This window comes from Homo sapiens, chromosome 1 (assembly GCF_000001405.40).
Source record: "Homo sapiens chromosome 1, GRCh38.p14 Primary Assembly".
NCBI classification, from domain to species: Eukaryota; Metazoa; Chordata; class Mammalia; order Primates; family Hominidae; genus Homo; species Homo sapiens.
This window is the reverse complement of record NC_000001.11, coordinates 157,216,947-157,232,185: the sequence shown is the minus strand read 5'-3', so window position 1 is coordinate 157,232,185 and position 15,239 is coordinate 157,216,947. Positions and strand designations below refer to the sequence as shown.

General features: G+C 42.7%; 1 long non-coding RNA gene across 1 annotated transcript in view; it reads left to right on the top strand.

Annotated features, from left to right (window-relative positions):
- Positions 1 to 6,863, top strand: part of LOC105371456 (uncharacterized) — a 54,091-nt gene extending 47,228 nt beyond the window's left edge. Inside the window, exons 3-4 of the long non-coding RNA XR_922183.3 lie at positions 5,904 to 6,003; positions 6,586 to 6,863. This is a non-coding gene — a long non-coding RNA (uncharacterized LOC105371456). The remainder of the gene's footprint in view (positions 1 to 5,903; positions 6,004 to 6,585) is intronic.
- Positions 6,864 to 15,239: the final 8,376 nt, after the last annotated feature.

Sequence of the window (15,239 nt, the reverse complement as noted above, 5' to 3'; positions counted from 1 at the left end):
CTTTCTTCTGAGGAGGCAAGAACTGAGGTTGCTGCAGACCTATACAAATTTGCCACTGCTAACAAGGAGAGCTCCATCTCTAGTCTCTCTCTCCTCCCCAGAGGTTGGGATAAGGGTGGAGTTGAAATTGCCAACTCTCTAATCACATGCACGGTTCCTCAAGCAACCAGTCACTATCCTGAAGCTCTGCAGGGACCTGCCAAGAGTCAACGCATTAGTGTACACTCAGATATGGTCAAAAGGGGTTCGTGTGAATAATAAAGACATTCCTGTTCCTCAGAAAATTCTAAGGGTTTGGAAGCTCCTGGAAAATTATAAATCTGGGGTTGATCCAAGTGTCCATCTCTGCACAACACTCATGCTGCCTGACACAATCATCAGCCTCTCAGGTGACACCGTTATAAATTCATGCAGCCAATCCCAAGCAAACTTTAACACCACTCAGCAATGTTATGTGCATGACAGCTATTGAAAGATAATATAAATTAATAATAGTGCTTATTGAATGCTTCTTATGTGCCATGACTCTTCTAAGCATTCTGAAGGTTTTAACTCATTTAATCCTCATAAACACTCTATGAAATAGGTTTCATTATCCCCATTTAGAAAATAGAAAAAGGAGACATAAGAACACCAAGTCATTTGTTCAAGTTCACACAGCTGGGAAATATCAGAACCAGGATTTAAATGCAAGTAGTTTGAATCCAGAGCCCACATTTTCATCATTCTACTGATTCCCTCTCACATTCTCCCAAACCTCTCCATATTCTCAGCAAAACCTGAACCCACCCTTGCAAAAATTAAATCACTGAGAAAATCATAACAGTAAGGTGAACTAACTCTCCTCTCTACTCCCCTGCAAAACTTGCCTTTCCCTTAACTATTCCTACGCTATTGGGCTGAGCTAACTTTTGAAGACATTTTTGGCTACAGTCAGGGATTTCCAATCTTCTGGCTTCCCTGGGTCACTTTGGAAGAAGAATTATCTTGGGCCACACATAAAATACTCTAACACTAATGATAGCTCAGGAGCAAAAAACAAAAACAAAAAAAAAAACAAAAAAAAAAACAATATTTTAAGGAAGTTTACAAAAATATGTTGGTCTGCATTCAATGGGGCTTGCAGGGAAGCTAGGAATGATAATAGGCCTTGCCCAAAACTCCACTGCTTTTGTAAAGCTAATGCAAGACCATGAGGCTGAGGAGAGGAGAGGACCCTGAGTCCTGCTAAGGTGCAGGCATAAATGATTCCAGAGGTTATAAGATATGCAGCTTTCCCAATTACTCCTGCAAATAACACCAGTATTGTAGATTGACCTTTCGAGATATCTTTCCAGGTTTTTTGCGTGTCTGACACCCACGGCTCCATCTGGACTGCCAACCCTGCTCTTATGGCCCCACCCATAAGCAATTCAGCTCTCAGAAGGACAGCTTCCACCCCCTGTGATTTTATCTTTGTCCCAACCAATCAGGAGCAAGCACCTGTTACCTGGCCACCACCAACCCTTCACCCAAACTGCCTTTGAAAAACCCCTAACCTATGAGCTTTGAATTAGATTATTTGAGTACAAACTCCATCTCCCATGTGGCATGTCTGGCCTTATGTCTATTAAACTCTTTCTTTACTACAATACTGTGGTCTATCTGTATGCAGCAGGCAGGAAGAAACCCTCCGAAGGTTGTAGCATCTCCATAACCTCACACTTTAACTATCATCCTGTTTCTTGATCTTCCACATCACAGCAATGCCTCTACACTTGCTCCAAGACACTCACTCCTTGGCCTTCCTCTACCAGCACACTTCAGAACACAACCAGTTGACCAGCAACCACCCAGGATTTGGCACTGTTTACCCCTTTCTTTTTCTTCTTCTTGAGAACTCTTCCTCAGTTTCCCTGACATCACTCTCTCCTGGATCCCCTTCCTCCTGCTGTTCTCCTCAGGCTCTTCTGCTGCCTCCTCTTTCTCCACCTTCACCCTTCCCCTGAATGGTACTTCTAAGGGCCTATCATAAGCCCGTTTCTCTCTCTCTCTCTCTCTCTCTCTCTCTCTCTCTCTACCCTTCTCTCTTTCTCTCTCTCTCTCTCTGTCCCTCAGACAGAGGGTCTTGCTCTGGCACTCAGGCTGAAGTTCAGTGGTATGATCATAGCTCACTACAGACTCAAACACCCAGGCTCAAGTGATCCTCCTGCCTCAGCCTCCCGAGTAACAGGGACTATAGCTAGGTATGTGCCACCAAGCTCGGATAGTTTTTTAATTTTTAATTTTGTAGAGACAGGGTCTTGCTATGTTGCCCGGGTTGGTCTCTAACTCCTGGGCTAAAATGACCCTCCCACCTCAGTGTCCCACAGTGCTATGAATGCAATTGTGACCCACTGTGCCCAGCCTTTTTTAATCTTCTCACTGGGACATCCACTTTTCTGCCTTCAATGATCATCCCCACGCTGCTAATGCCCAAGTCTGTATCTCCAACCCCCATCCTCTGCCTAGCATCAGATTCTGCATTCAGCTCTCTACTAGACATCTCCACTGGTGCCTCAAACTCGGTGTGTCAAATGCTGCGTTTATCTTCATCTTCTAGCCTATTTCTGTGTTCCCATTCTCAGGCAATGGCCCCAACCAGGAACCTGGACCTTGTCTTTGGCTTCTTCCTCTCCCGACCTCCTTGAGAAGACGATAATCCCTGCAATGTGTAAGATCCATTTTAAGCACCTTACATGCAGCAGTTTTATTTTATTGTCACAATCTTAAGGAGGAAGAAAAAAGAGTGATTCTAGCACTTACTGGTGAGGAAATTTAAGCAGCGCTCTCTAAGCCTCAGCTTCCCTCCCATTTTGTGCCATCTGAAGCAGGTTCCCCTATTCTCATCCCTCTCCCTGTCCCCAGTCCACGGGAGATGCTTCTTTTATGTTCTCCACTCCTTCTCATCACACTATATTGCAATGTGCCACGTACCGTTTTTGTATCCTATGGACACGACACAAAAGATGATGGATTATTCTTCTCCCACAGGAAATGAAAGCAGAAGCAATTATTATGTATACTATCTGGTAATAAATGTGTGCTTTATTTCATGGAAAATGTTGGAATAGTTTCAACTGGTTTACGTGGGCTTAAGAAAAATTACTGAAAAGCACATTTTTTGTTTTCGCTTATTCAGTTCTTATTCCCCTCCATCTCTGACTCTCCTGTGCTCAGTGAGGTAGAAAAGTTTCACTCACCAGAATTCCCAGGGGGAGGCTGCAGGGGCTGGAAGCCTGGACAGTCAAAAATTAGATACAGATTCTGGTCCTGTGGCTTGTTGGATTTCAAAGCAGGTTGAATCCTCAGCCTTCTGAATTTTTTTCTATTAAAAGGCAGCACATTGATGAAGAAAGAATAGAACCCTGAGGATTAAGGCTTCCCTTACCTGCAGACATGGCCCCTACTCTCATCTGGAAAACTAGTTCTGCCTTACCAGTCTGTAATAACCTCACTCACCTAGGATCCTCCTTTCCTGAAAGAAGATACCAATTTTCCTTATGCCTCAACCTCTTACTCCTTATTCCTCCAGGCCTATAAACTAGGTCACTGCATATCCCCTGGGTCAATAAGATAGTCAGACTTCAGAGGAGTAGGCTTTCACACCAAAAGACTTGCCAGTTTTTGTTAATTTATTTAGCAAAGATCTGCAAAATACTAATGGTAATAGATTATGAAGGTATTATACCCAGAAGGGAGAAATATAACAGACAGCTTCATTGTATCCCATTCCCTTTGCCATCATGCTGATCTACCATAGGGATTACATTATGATGATCTGATGATGTAGTGAGAAGCCAATAGCAGATACGCTAGAGGCACAAAAGTACCAAGATAAATCTCATGAAAGTTAGGGGGCCTGACACCTTAGTAATGTTTCTAGGAGTCCAGTCATTTGGAGAATATCAGCACATTCCCTCAAAGATAAATGCAATCTTGCTTCACCTTGAATGCACTGTCATTAAGAAAGAGACATCATACTTCGTAGGTCTTCTTGTACTTGGAGACAATATACATCGCAACTAGGTGTATTATGTCAGCACATTCACTAGCTATAAGACAATCAACTTTGAATGGGCCCAAAGCAAGAGAAGATTCTCCTGCTCGTTCGGGCTACAATGTAAGCATCTCTGCCATTGGCCCTTATGGCCTTGCAGACCTAAATGTGCTTGAGGTGACCTGGAGCCGTCTGATTTCTCCTTGAAGGTATGGCAGACTAAGATAACAACAACAATAAAAAACTAACAGATGTTCGTTGAATGTTAAGCAGAACCACATAATCTTAAGAAAATAACTCTTTTCTGGTATAGCTTTAGGTTTGCTATACCTGACTGATATGGTTTGGATCTGTGTCCCTGTCCAAATCTCATGTCAAATTGTAATTACCAGTGTTAGAGGTGGGGCCTGGAGAGAGATGATTGAATCATGGGAGAACTTTCTCATAAACGGTTTAGCACTATCTTCTCAGTGCTGTCCTCATGATGGTGATTGAGTTCTTGTGAGATCTGGTTGTTTCAAAGTGTGTAGCACCTCCCCCTACCCCTTGGCCCTGATCCTGCCATGTAAGACATCCCTGCTTCTCCTTCACCTTCCGCCATGATTGTAAGTTTCCAGAGGCCTCCCCAGAAGCAAAAGCCACTATGTTTCCTGTACTGCCTGCAGAATCCTGAGCCAAGTAAACCTCTTTTCTTTATAAATTACCCAGTCTCAGGTATTTCTTTATAGCAGTGCAAAGACTAATACACTGACTATGAGACACACCAAATGACTATGCAACCTGAGCCACCCTCAACTGGGTATTTTCTAATTCATGCACCCCTATAATCAGGTATGTCCAACAGCATTTTATCATCAAGTGGAAGTTACATATATATAAGAACAGGCTCAAGCAGGACTTGAAAACACAAATGAGTTGCATAAGCAGGCAGCTTACAATAACAGTGCACCTACTCCTGCTGCCAAGACCATCTCTAACATTTGTGGAACCCGGGGAAAGGGTACACATGGAGATGCAATCACCATCATATGTCTACATATAAAAAAATTATAAATTAAGCTAACACATGTTGAATAAAGTATGTTCAGTTCTCTGATTTTGAAATATTGTCATGTGATCACAGCAGAATGAGTAAATTCTAAGAAATTATTCATGAAGCTGCAAGGTGGAAATTGGTGTTTACCCAATGGAACCACAAATTCTTGAGAAACTGGAAACTTTCCTGGAAGGGGAATGGAGGTCTGTGGTCAACACTGCGCTTACTTGGGCCTCCTTGCTTTACTTGATAGAACAGAATTTCCTGAACACTGGACTGTTTCTGCTGGGGGAACAACTGCCAGGAAAGTCACAGGGCTATGCTGAAGGAAACTTGTTCACAAACAAGAGACGCTTGCAGGAAGCACAGTGCCAATGACGAAGTGACGTAAACTAAGAAAGTGTCTACAATGACCAGTATTAGAAAACATATCTGGGTTTACAGCCACAAATGCCTCCTTCTCTGTGAAGTCAATGCCTAGCAGGGGTCTCACAGGTGTTTGGTAACGTCCATAGTCAGAGAGACTCATATGCTGGGTTTCTGACCACACATCAACCGAAAAGAAGAAAAGGCCTCTATACAGGTGTTGAGATTAGAGAGATGTATTCAGTGAGATGCCACAGGGGACAAGGGGCTTGCTAGCTAGACCATAGCATTATAGAAGAATCGATAATGAAGTTTTATAAAGAAGCCTGAACTACACAAGAGGGGTCTCTATCGGTCTTGGTGAAGCTATTTGAGAAACATGAAGAGATGGTACAATATTTGTCAAATAGACCAAGTGATGGGGTTGGAATGGGAGTCATCAGTTCTGATTTAGGGATCTGAAGGCAATGTATATATGTTCAGCCCCTACAGTTACATTTCTGCAAAGCAATGTTCTTCAGGTGGGGAAATAAAGAACTTCCACCTCTAGCCAGAGAAGAAGCCCAGACCACATGCGTAAGAGGTATTGTCATACACATTGTCTACTGATCTTCATGCATGTTTAGTGGGGTCAAGGAGTTATCACAGGTGTGACCACTCAGATTTTAGTACCCAGCAGTCCTAGTATATGTGGAATGGATTCAGATAAAACAATGCACTGCCTCAATCCTGGGAGTCAGAAATTCCCACATGCTTGATTCAGGCAAGAAACAAACCATTTAAGGAAAGAAAGGTAAAACCATCTTTGCAAAATTAGTAAGAGAAATCTGACATAGTTGACTCCTTCTTGCTTCTAGCTTTCAAGCTGTCCTTGGTCATTCCTAGGCATTGGCCAAGCTAATTTTGGAAGGATTTAGTTTATAGTTTAACCTTAAAGCAAGGATGATAATAGCCCTTCCCAAAACTAAACTGCTTTTGTAAAATTAATGAGAGGCCAAAAGATTAGGATTATGCTGGGGGCTTGAATTCTGCTAAGACATAGGCATAGTTAAATAACAACCAGCCATTGTTCCAGAGGTCACAAGATTTGTAACTTCTCCAATTACTCCTATAGATGGCATCACTATTGTAGAACCTAAGATTGCTCTTTTGAGATATTTTTCAGACTTTGCATTTTGGCAACTGACTGACTCCACCTGGACTCATGACTCAACTGGTCTTGTGGCCCCCAACCAAGAGCTGGGCTCAGCACATGAGGATGGTTTTCCACACCCCTATGATTGCATCCCCAACCAATCAGTAGCACTCATTCCTGAGTCCCGTACCCACCAAACTATCCTTGAAAAACCTTAACCTCCAAGCCCTCAGAGAGACTGACTTGAGTGATAACTCCATCTCCCATCTGGCCTGCCTCACATTAATAAAACTCTGTCTCTGCTGCAATAGCATGGTTTCAGTGAATTAGTTTTGTCTTGGTGGGCAGGAAGAACCTGTTGTGTGACTACAAAGAGTGTCATGTAGCAGAGGGCACCTGGAGCCAACTCCCACCCAAGGAATTCAAAAATGAAAGTCAGGAAATGAGAAGGGAGTTACAGTGAAGAATAGTTCTAGATTTAGAGGTCAAAGAACTGAGTAGATAAACTATTCTACTCTTCTTATAAGAGGAAAAGACCCTGGGGAGAGGGGCCAATGCAGGCAGGGCACCTGATAAATGATGCTCTCTTCCAGAAAGCAGGAGTATGATACCACGGTGGTCCCTGACTCTAAAGAAGACATGTGGCAGAAACCCAGCTCTAAATTCAAATGAGACATGTTTTTGTCAAACAATAGTTACACACTTCCCAGCTTGAACCCCCTAGCACCTCCTAATGATAAAGAGAGACCCCTGCCTGGCTGGGTTGCAGGGATAAAACCAGATTTGGTGAGCTGGTGCCCCCAAAGGAAACCAGGAGACATAAAAGACCATAGAATTACAGGATCATTGAAAGTACCCAGAGGAATGTTTTGTCTCCACCAGTAGAGAAGATGGGGAGTGTGATACTACAAAGGACAGAGGAGTCCTGTGTCACAAATATATATTGTACTTTACTTCTCCTTTCTCACCCTTGGATGAGAGCATTTGCAAGGAGTTACAAATGTTATTTTGAGAAGATGTAATGAGATGGAGAAAGTTTTATTCACCAAAATTCCAAAGAGGCTGAGGAAGGCAGATTAGCTTAAGGAAGACATGAGACAAGCAACTGGAGTAGAGAGGCTGTACTTCCCCTCCAAGTGGGCTGTGCCTAGTGCAAAGAGACACTGGTCAGGAGAAGTCTCTGAGCCTTGGTTTTCTTAGATGCTAAAGGAGGGTAATGTCACCTAGTTAAGAAGACTATGTATAAAGCCAGATTCCCAACCCATGTCCCAGGACCTGGTGCTGAGTAGAGGTTCCCATTGTCTTGGCCCTTCCTGCCTCACTGTCCTTCCCAGCCTCACAGGTACCATATGGCGTATGAGGTTGAACTAAGATCATACATGCAACATCTCCAATATAGATCTTGCATACAGCAGATGCTCAACACATGCTTATTCCTCTCTTTCCTTCTTACCAAGTCCTTTTCATCTTCTCAGCTCAAGAAAGCTTCTCAGTTAACCAGCCAACATTGCTTACCTAGAGCAGTAACTGTCACCACCTTAGAACTGGTTTTGCTGTATGCAAGATGTATATTGGGGATGTTGAAAGAATCCTTCCCAAACTCTTCTAAAAGATTGAAGAGGAGGGAACCCTTCAAAAACTCATTTTAGAAGTCCAGCTCCACTCGAAGCCAGAAAAAGACACTACAAGAAAAGAAAATTATGGGCCAATATAACTGATAAAGATAGATGCAAAGAAATCTAGAAATACTAGCACATTGAATACAACACAACATTAAAAGGATCATACCCCACAATCAATTGTGATTTATCCCTGAGATACAAGGCTGTTTCAATATATGTGAATCTATAAACATGACACACCCCATTAGCAGAATGAAGGACAAAAATTATATGATCATCTCGATAGATGTAGAAAAAGCACTGGACAAAATTCAACATATTTTCATGATTAAAAAAGAAACCTCTCAACAAATTAAGTATACAAGGAATGTGCCTCAACATAATAAAGACTAGGTATTACAATCCCACAGCTAATATCATACTTAGTGATATAAAGCTGAGAGCTTTCCTCTAAAGTTAGAAACAAAAGAAAGGATTTGAACTCTCGCATCTATTTAATATAGTTCTGGAAGTCCTAGCCAGAGAATTTAGAGAAGAAAAATAAATAAAAGATATCCAAATTGAAAGAAAGAAGTAAAATTGTCTCTGTTTGCAGATGACATGATCTTATACATAGAAGTCCCTAAAGATTCCACAAAGAATTCTTAGAACTAATAAAAAAAATTCAGTAAAGTTGCAAGATATAAAATCAACATATTAGTGTATGCTTCCATACACTAATAACAAACTATCCAAAAAAGAAATTATGAAAACAATCTTATTTATGATCACTCCAAAAAGACATAAAATTCTTAGGAATAAACTTAAGGAGGTTAGAAAACTACACTAAAATTTATAAAACTAATGAAAAAATTGAAGACACAAGTAAATTGAAAGGTATCAGTGTTTATGGATTGGAAGAATTCATATTGTTAAAATGTTTATACTACAGAAAATTATCTACAGATTTAATGCAATCTATATCAAAATTCTAATGACTTTTTCACAGAAATAAAAAAACCAATCCTAACATTTTTATGGAATCACAAAGAACCCTGAACAGTCAAAGCAATCTTGAGCAAAAAGAACAAAGCTGGACACATGATACCACTTGATCTCAAAATATACTACAAATCTGTAGTAACCAAAACAGCATGGTACTAGCCAAAAACAGACACATAGACCAATGGAACAGAACAGAGAGGCCAGAAGTAAGTCCATGCATTTACAGTGATTTTTGATATCAGTGCCAAGAACACACACTGGGGAGAGAGCAGTATTTTCAATAAATGGTTTTGGGAAAACTTGATATCTACCTGCAGAAGAATGAATAGAACTCTTATCTCACACCATGTACAAAAATCAACTCAAAATGGATTAAAGACTTAAAATGTAAGACTTGAAACTATAAAGTTACTAGAAGAAATTATAGGACAAAAAGTCTATAATATTGGTCTTGGCAATGATTTTTTTGGATATGAGCCCAAAAGCACAGAAAACAAAAGCAAAAATGAACAAATGGGACTATATAAAGCTAAAAAGTTTCTTCACCACCAAGAAAACAATTAGCACAGTGAAGAGACAACTTACAGAATGGGAGAAAATATTTGCAAATCATACATTCGATTGGGGTTAATATCCAAAATATATAACAAACGCAATAGCAAGAAAACAAATAATTCAATTTTAAAATGGACAAAGGATCTGAATAGACAATTCTCAAAAGAAGATACACAAATGACCAACAGGTATATCAAAAATGCTCAACATCATTAATTATCAGGGAAATGCAAATTACAGCCACAATGAGCTGCCATCTAACACCTGTTAGAACGGCTACTATAAAAAAATGAAAGATAACAAGTATTGGTGAGGATGTGGAGAAAAAAGAACACTTGTACACTCTTGCTGATAATTTAAATTAGTACAGCCATTATGGAAAACAGTATGGAGGTTCCTCAAAAAATTATAAACAAAACTCTATATGTTCCAGCAATCCCACTTCTGGTATATATCTAAAGGAACTGAAATCAGTATGTCAAAGAGATATTTGCCCTCTCATGTTCAATGGAGCATTATTCACAATAACCAAGATATGGAATCAACCTAAGTATTCATCAGTAGATGAATGGACAAATAAAATGTGAGGGGTGTGTGTGTGTGTGTGTGTGTGTGTGTGTGCGCATGTATGTACACACAGTGGAAAGCTATTCAGCCTTAAAACACAAATAATTCCTGTCTTAATTGACAACGTGGATGAAACTGGAGAACATTATGTTATTGAAATAAGCCAAGCAGAGAAAGATAAATAAATATGTGGAAGGAATCTAAAAAAGTCAAACTCATAAAAATTGAGAGTAGACGGGTCATTGCCAGGGGCTGGGGGTTGGGGTGGGGATATAGGGAATACTGGTCAAAAGGTATAAAAAATCACTTAGGATGAGTAAGTTCAGGAGATCTATTGTACAACATGATGCCTATAGTTTATAATAATGTATTGTATACTTGAGAATAAGGAGAATAGATCTTAAACATTCTCACAACAGAGCATAATAAGTGTATGAAGTGATGAGTATGTTAATTAACTTGAGTTAAGCATTTTCACAATGTATATGTATATGAAAACATCATGTTGCACACTGTAAATATATTCAATTTTTATTTGTTAACTGTATCTTAATTAAAATAAATACAATAGAGGTACTAAAAAAGTTGAGTATGTTTCAACCCAGGCTTTATCCCTTAGAAGCTTATTAAAGATACACTGTCTAGTCCCACCCCAGAAATTCTGATTTGATTGTGTCTCTGTTGGGCCTTAGGTATTGGAGTTTTTAAACAGCTCTTGTGGTACTGCTAAAGTGCATCCAGGGTTGAAAATTATGATTTAGTCAGGTTTCACTAGGTTCTTGCTACTGAAAATGTGGTCCAAGAACCAGCAGCATTAGCCTCCTTTAGTAGCTTATTAGCAGTGCAGATTCTCATGCCTCACCCAGACCTATTGCATCAAAATATGCATTTTAGCAAGATCCCAGGTGATTCCTAAGTATTGTAAATGTTTAGCATTGTTACTCTAGGCACAGTGCTCTAGGTGTTCTGCTGGGTTTCCATTTCTTCCTGTTACTGATGCCCCTTAGCTGTGTTTATTTTTCAATTGCTTACCCATCAGTCCATTTACCCTCAGTAGTCAAGAGACCTGTGAGGGCCTCTTAAGCATCAGCAAGCCAGCTGTGATAAGAGCTATGGCAGCCTCCACTCCTGGAGCCCACATGGTACCAACTGCATGCACTGAAAGAACACACTCTCCTGTCACGCCAGCAGTGAGCCTCCCAACTTCATGGGTTGGACTCAGCCTGGAGCATCTGTGTAGTCCGACAATTCCTCTGAGCCATGAGATGATGAGCCTCGGGGCTGGAGCATGGATGTGAAAAAGGAAGATGAAGACAGAGAGGTGGGCGCTAGAGAGATCCTGAGGGGAGTGCTCAGCTTGGGGTCCTGGGGAAGAAGTGCAGGGAGGAGACCCCAGAAAAAGTGAGCAGACTGAGGATGACAGTGGGCAGATAGAGGCTCACTGACCTCTCCTGTGAATCAGCCCTGGCAGAAGGCTGGGGAGCAATGCTGAGAGTAGGAGGTGTGTGAATGACCAGAAGTAAAGGGTGGCAGGTGTTAGGGACTGAGCAGAAAGCTATGGTGCCCTTACATGGGCCTGATAAGGTGTCACCTCACTTCCACATGCCCTAGGTGAGCATCTGCTGCATGCAGGTGGATCCACTCTCCTGCCAGTGGTGCCATGCTCATGCTCAGCGGCTGCTCCCCAGGCCCTTCCCACACGGGACATTGCTAACCTGCAGACTAGTGAGATTGACAGCCACCACCCTTCCTATGTGGAGATCAGCCTCCTGAGGCTCCCTAGGGTGAGCATAACAAAATGAAATCGGGGCAACTGGCACATGTTCAGAGGCCAGGAGTCCTTGGAGGCCCAGGATACTTTGCCCCACAGTCGGGCTCTGGGTCCAATCCTTTCCTTGGACAATATGGTTGCACACCTAGGTAGCCAAAGCATGTTAAGAGCTGCAAGATAAGTGACTTGCACGTACAATACATTTGTAATCTCATCAGTGCCTTTCTGACACCCAGTGAGGAGCAATAGCAGAGGAGAGGATGGGGTACTGAGGCTCCCTGAGGTGAAAGACTCACCAAAGGGCCCACCTCTTGGCAGTGGGGAATATGGCCAAGAACCCTGGAGAGGCTCACCATCCACAGGAAGAAACTCAGGCCACAGGAGAGGTGAGTGTAAATGATCAGGTGTCCGGTAGGACTGAACTGTCTGTGCAGGACCCAAAGGAAGTAAAAGTAGAGGGCCTGGCAGGTCCTGGAGGCAGGGCAGATACTAGAATCCATGGGCATCAGAAAAGGCCAACTTTCTCCCTCCCCTTTCCAGTCCCTCCCATCTTCCCTACTCCAGAGCCTACCATGAATGCCCCTGCAGGTATAAAGGCTTTGGCCCCACTGATAAAATGCCCCTGGGAGAGCATCTCATATGGCCGCTGGCCCTTCATTGGAAGTTGGTGCTATGGTCCCCCATGGAGTAATTCTGCCTAGGGGGAGACCTGGAAGAGCCAGAGGAGCAGAGGGCACTGAAAGGGCTTCCCAGAAGCAGTGGCTCCCAGACAAGTATGATCAGAATCACCTGGAGGGCCTGGTAAGACAAAGACTGCTGGACCCACTCACGGTGTTTCTGACTCAGTGGGTTGAGGGTAGACCCGAAAATTCCCATTTCTACCAAATCCCCAGGTGATGCTGACCCTCCTGGTCTCATACTTTGAGAACCGCTAGGCTAAAGAGCAGACAAGGCAGACAAGCAGAGTTTAGCCGAACCTGACTCCTTGTTCAGCCTGGACTCTCAGGAAGAGCCAGTGGCTGGGTCCTCTCCTCTTTCATCCTTTGACTTCTCTAAAGAGGGAGTAACTAGATCGTTGAGGCACAGAGCATCAGAACCTTAGAAATCCCCTAATTGGTTGCAGTCATTTATGGTGGGGGAAAGTGGGGTCCAGAAGGAACTCTGGGGCTTACCCAGAGAACCATGGCAAGCACAAGGCAGGACGGGGCCTCCTCACTCCCAATCCAGTTCTCTGTCCACTGTCCCCACCTGCCTCAGTGCCTGTCACATTGTGCCTTCCCAACTCGGCCCTTCTGATGTATGTCCTCATCTGTCTTGGGCCTCAGGGAACTCAGAACATAACTCTTTGGAATCCAAGCCCCACTACCCCCAACTAGAGAAACACAGAGGTGGGGGAGGGGTACAATTTTAACACAAGGGAGCGGAATGTGGGTCTGAGATAGAGAAACGAATCAAGTGACGTTCGACCCAGATACTCAGTCCTATTCTGAAGCCCCCTGCCACCTCAGTCCCTGTCCTGGAGGAGCTCCCAGACTGCTGGAGAAAATGAATACTTCCTGGGATACAGGGAGAGGACCACAGAGGTGGGAGTGGCATGAAGATACAGTGCCAGGAGAGATGGATGTGTGACCCAGCTCTGATCCTGACTTCTTGTTCAACCTTAGAAAGTTTCCTTTACCTCCCTGGGTCTCATTTTCCTCTTTTGCATAATATGGATTAAAATAATAGTACCTTACATTTAGCTTGTGCTTTGTAGTTTTCCAAAGCAACTTTTCAATGAGAGTAGTCATAGCAATTTACAACTTTGTCCAAGAAATATTTATGGAATTCCTACTGTGTTCCTAGAATTGTTCTCATCTAGGTTACAGAGGTCCAGATCAAAAAAATACAAAAGAATAAGAATCCTTTCCCTATAGAATATACATTTTAATGCAGGTAGAGATGGGGTAGAGAGAATGACAAAAAAAAATACGAAGTGTTAGAGAATGACAAGTGCTCAAGAGAAAATAAAGCAGGAAAGGGAAATAAGGAATATGATGGGAGTGTAACTTTAACTAAGGCTGTCTGTCAGGGAAAGCCTCACTGAGAAAAGAAAGCTTGGATGAGATGAGGGCGTGAATAATGTGGAGGTTTGTGTGGTGGGAGAAGAATAGCATCCTGGGCAGAGGACAGAACAAGTGCAAAGACTCTACAGAATGTACGAAGCTTGAAAGGGGTCTCAGTTGAAGTTTATTATGGGGAGATATCAAGCTTCATAGCCAAAACTAGGTGGTTGAGGACAACAAGCACAGGAAGACAGGTAGCCTGGCTGGCTCCTCTACATAATTCTTAGAAGCTGACCAAGCCAGCTCCTCAATCCCACCAGAATTGCAGAATGACATGAAGAAGAGAAGCTGCCATGCACAGAGCCCCACGCTGGCTCCAGCAGTCCACACTGTGTATGACAAGATCTGGACAAGCCCAGAGCTCCGGAGTGTGCCTAGACCATGAAGACACTGGGGCAATGAAGGGACTTGGTAAGATCTTCCCACACCACCCTTCACCCCAGGGTCCTCGACATCCTTCCTTAATGTGGAGCTGAGGCCAGAGACCCAGGTCTTCCTGCCTCATCCCACGGAGACAGCAAGGCAGCATGAGCTGCTCCCATGGGTTCCCCCACAGGTAGGAACAGTGACTCTTATTCAAACATCAAAGTATGAAAGGTGAACTCTTTAGTGATCAGCCAGACTTTGTTGACCTGTGACCCACTTAATCCCTGTTAGTGGAACACCCATGGTCAGGCAGGACCTGTATTGGGATGTTCAAGGAATAGTGTCAATTTCCCAGTATATGGAGGGTCCTGGGGCTTTTGAGAAAGATGAGTCTTGGGTGAAGAATCTTTAGGATGTTACGACCCAGCCCGAAACACTACCCAAAAATAGAGAGGTGTGGCCCTTGACTTTGGGAAGGCATGAGGTCTGCAGATACAAGATTAAGGGTCAGCTGCAGTGTGGAAGTGAATGGTGGAAAGGGAAGAAAATGTTTCTCAAGCTCTATCACCCACCAAGATTAATTCTAAGCACAGGACATGTACCATCTCAAGATTTCTCAAAATTCAAGTAATTCACAGACCATCTTACTTTTATTATGTAACGTATACATACAGTACACAAGTCAAAAGGCATCTCCTATTGAAATTATGATCT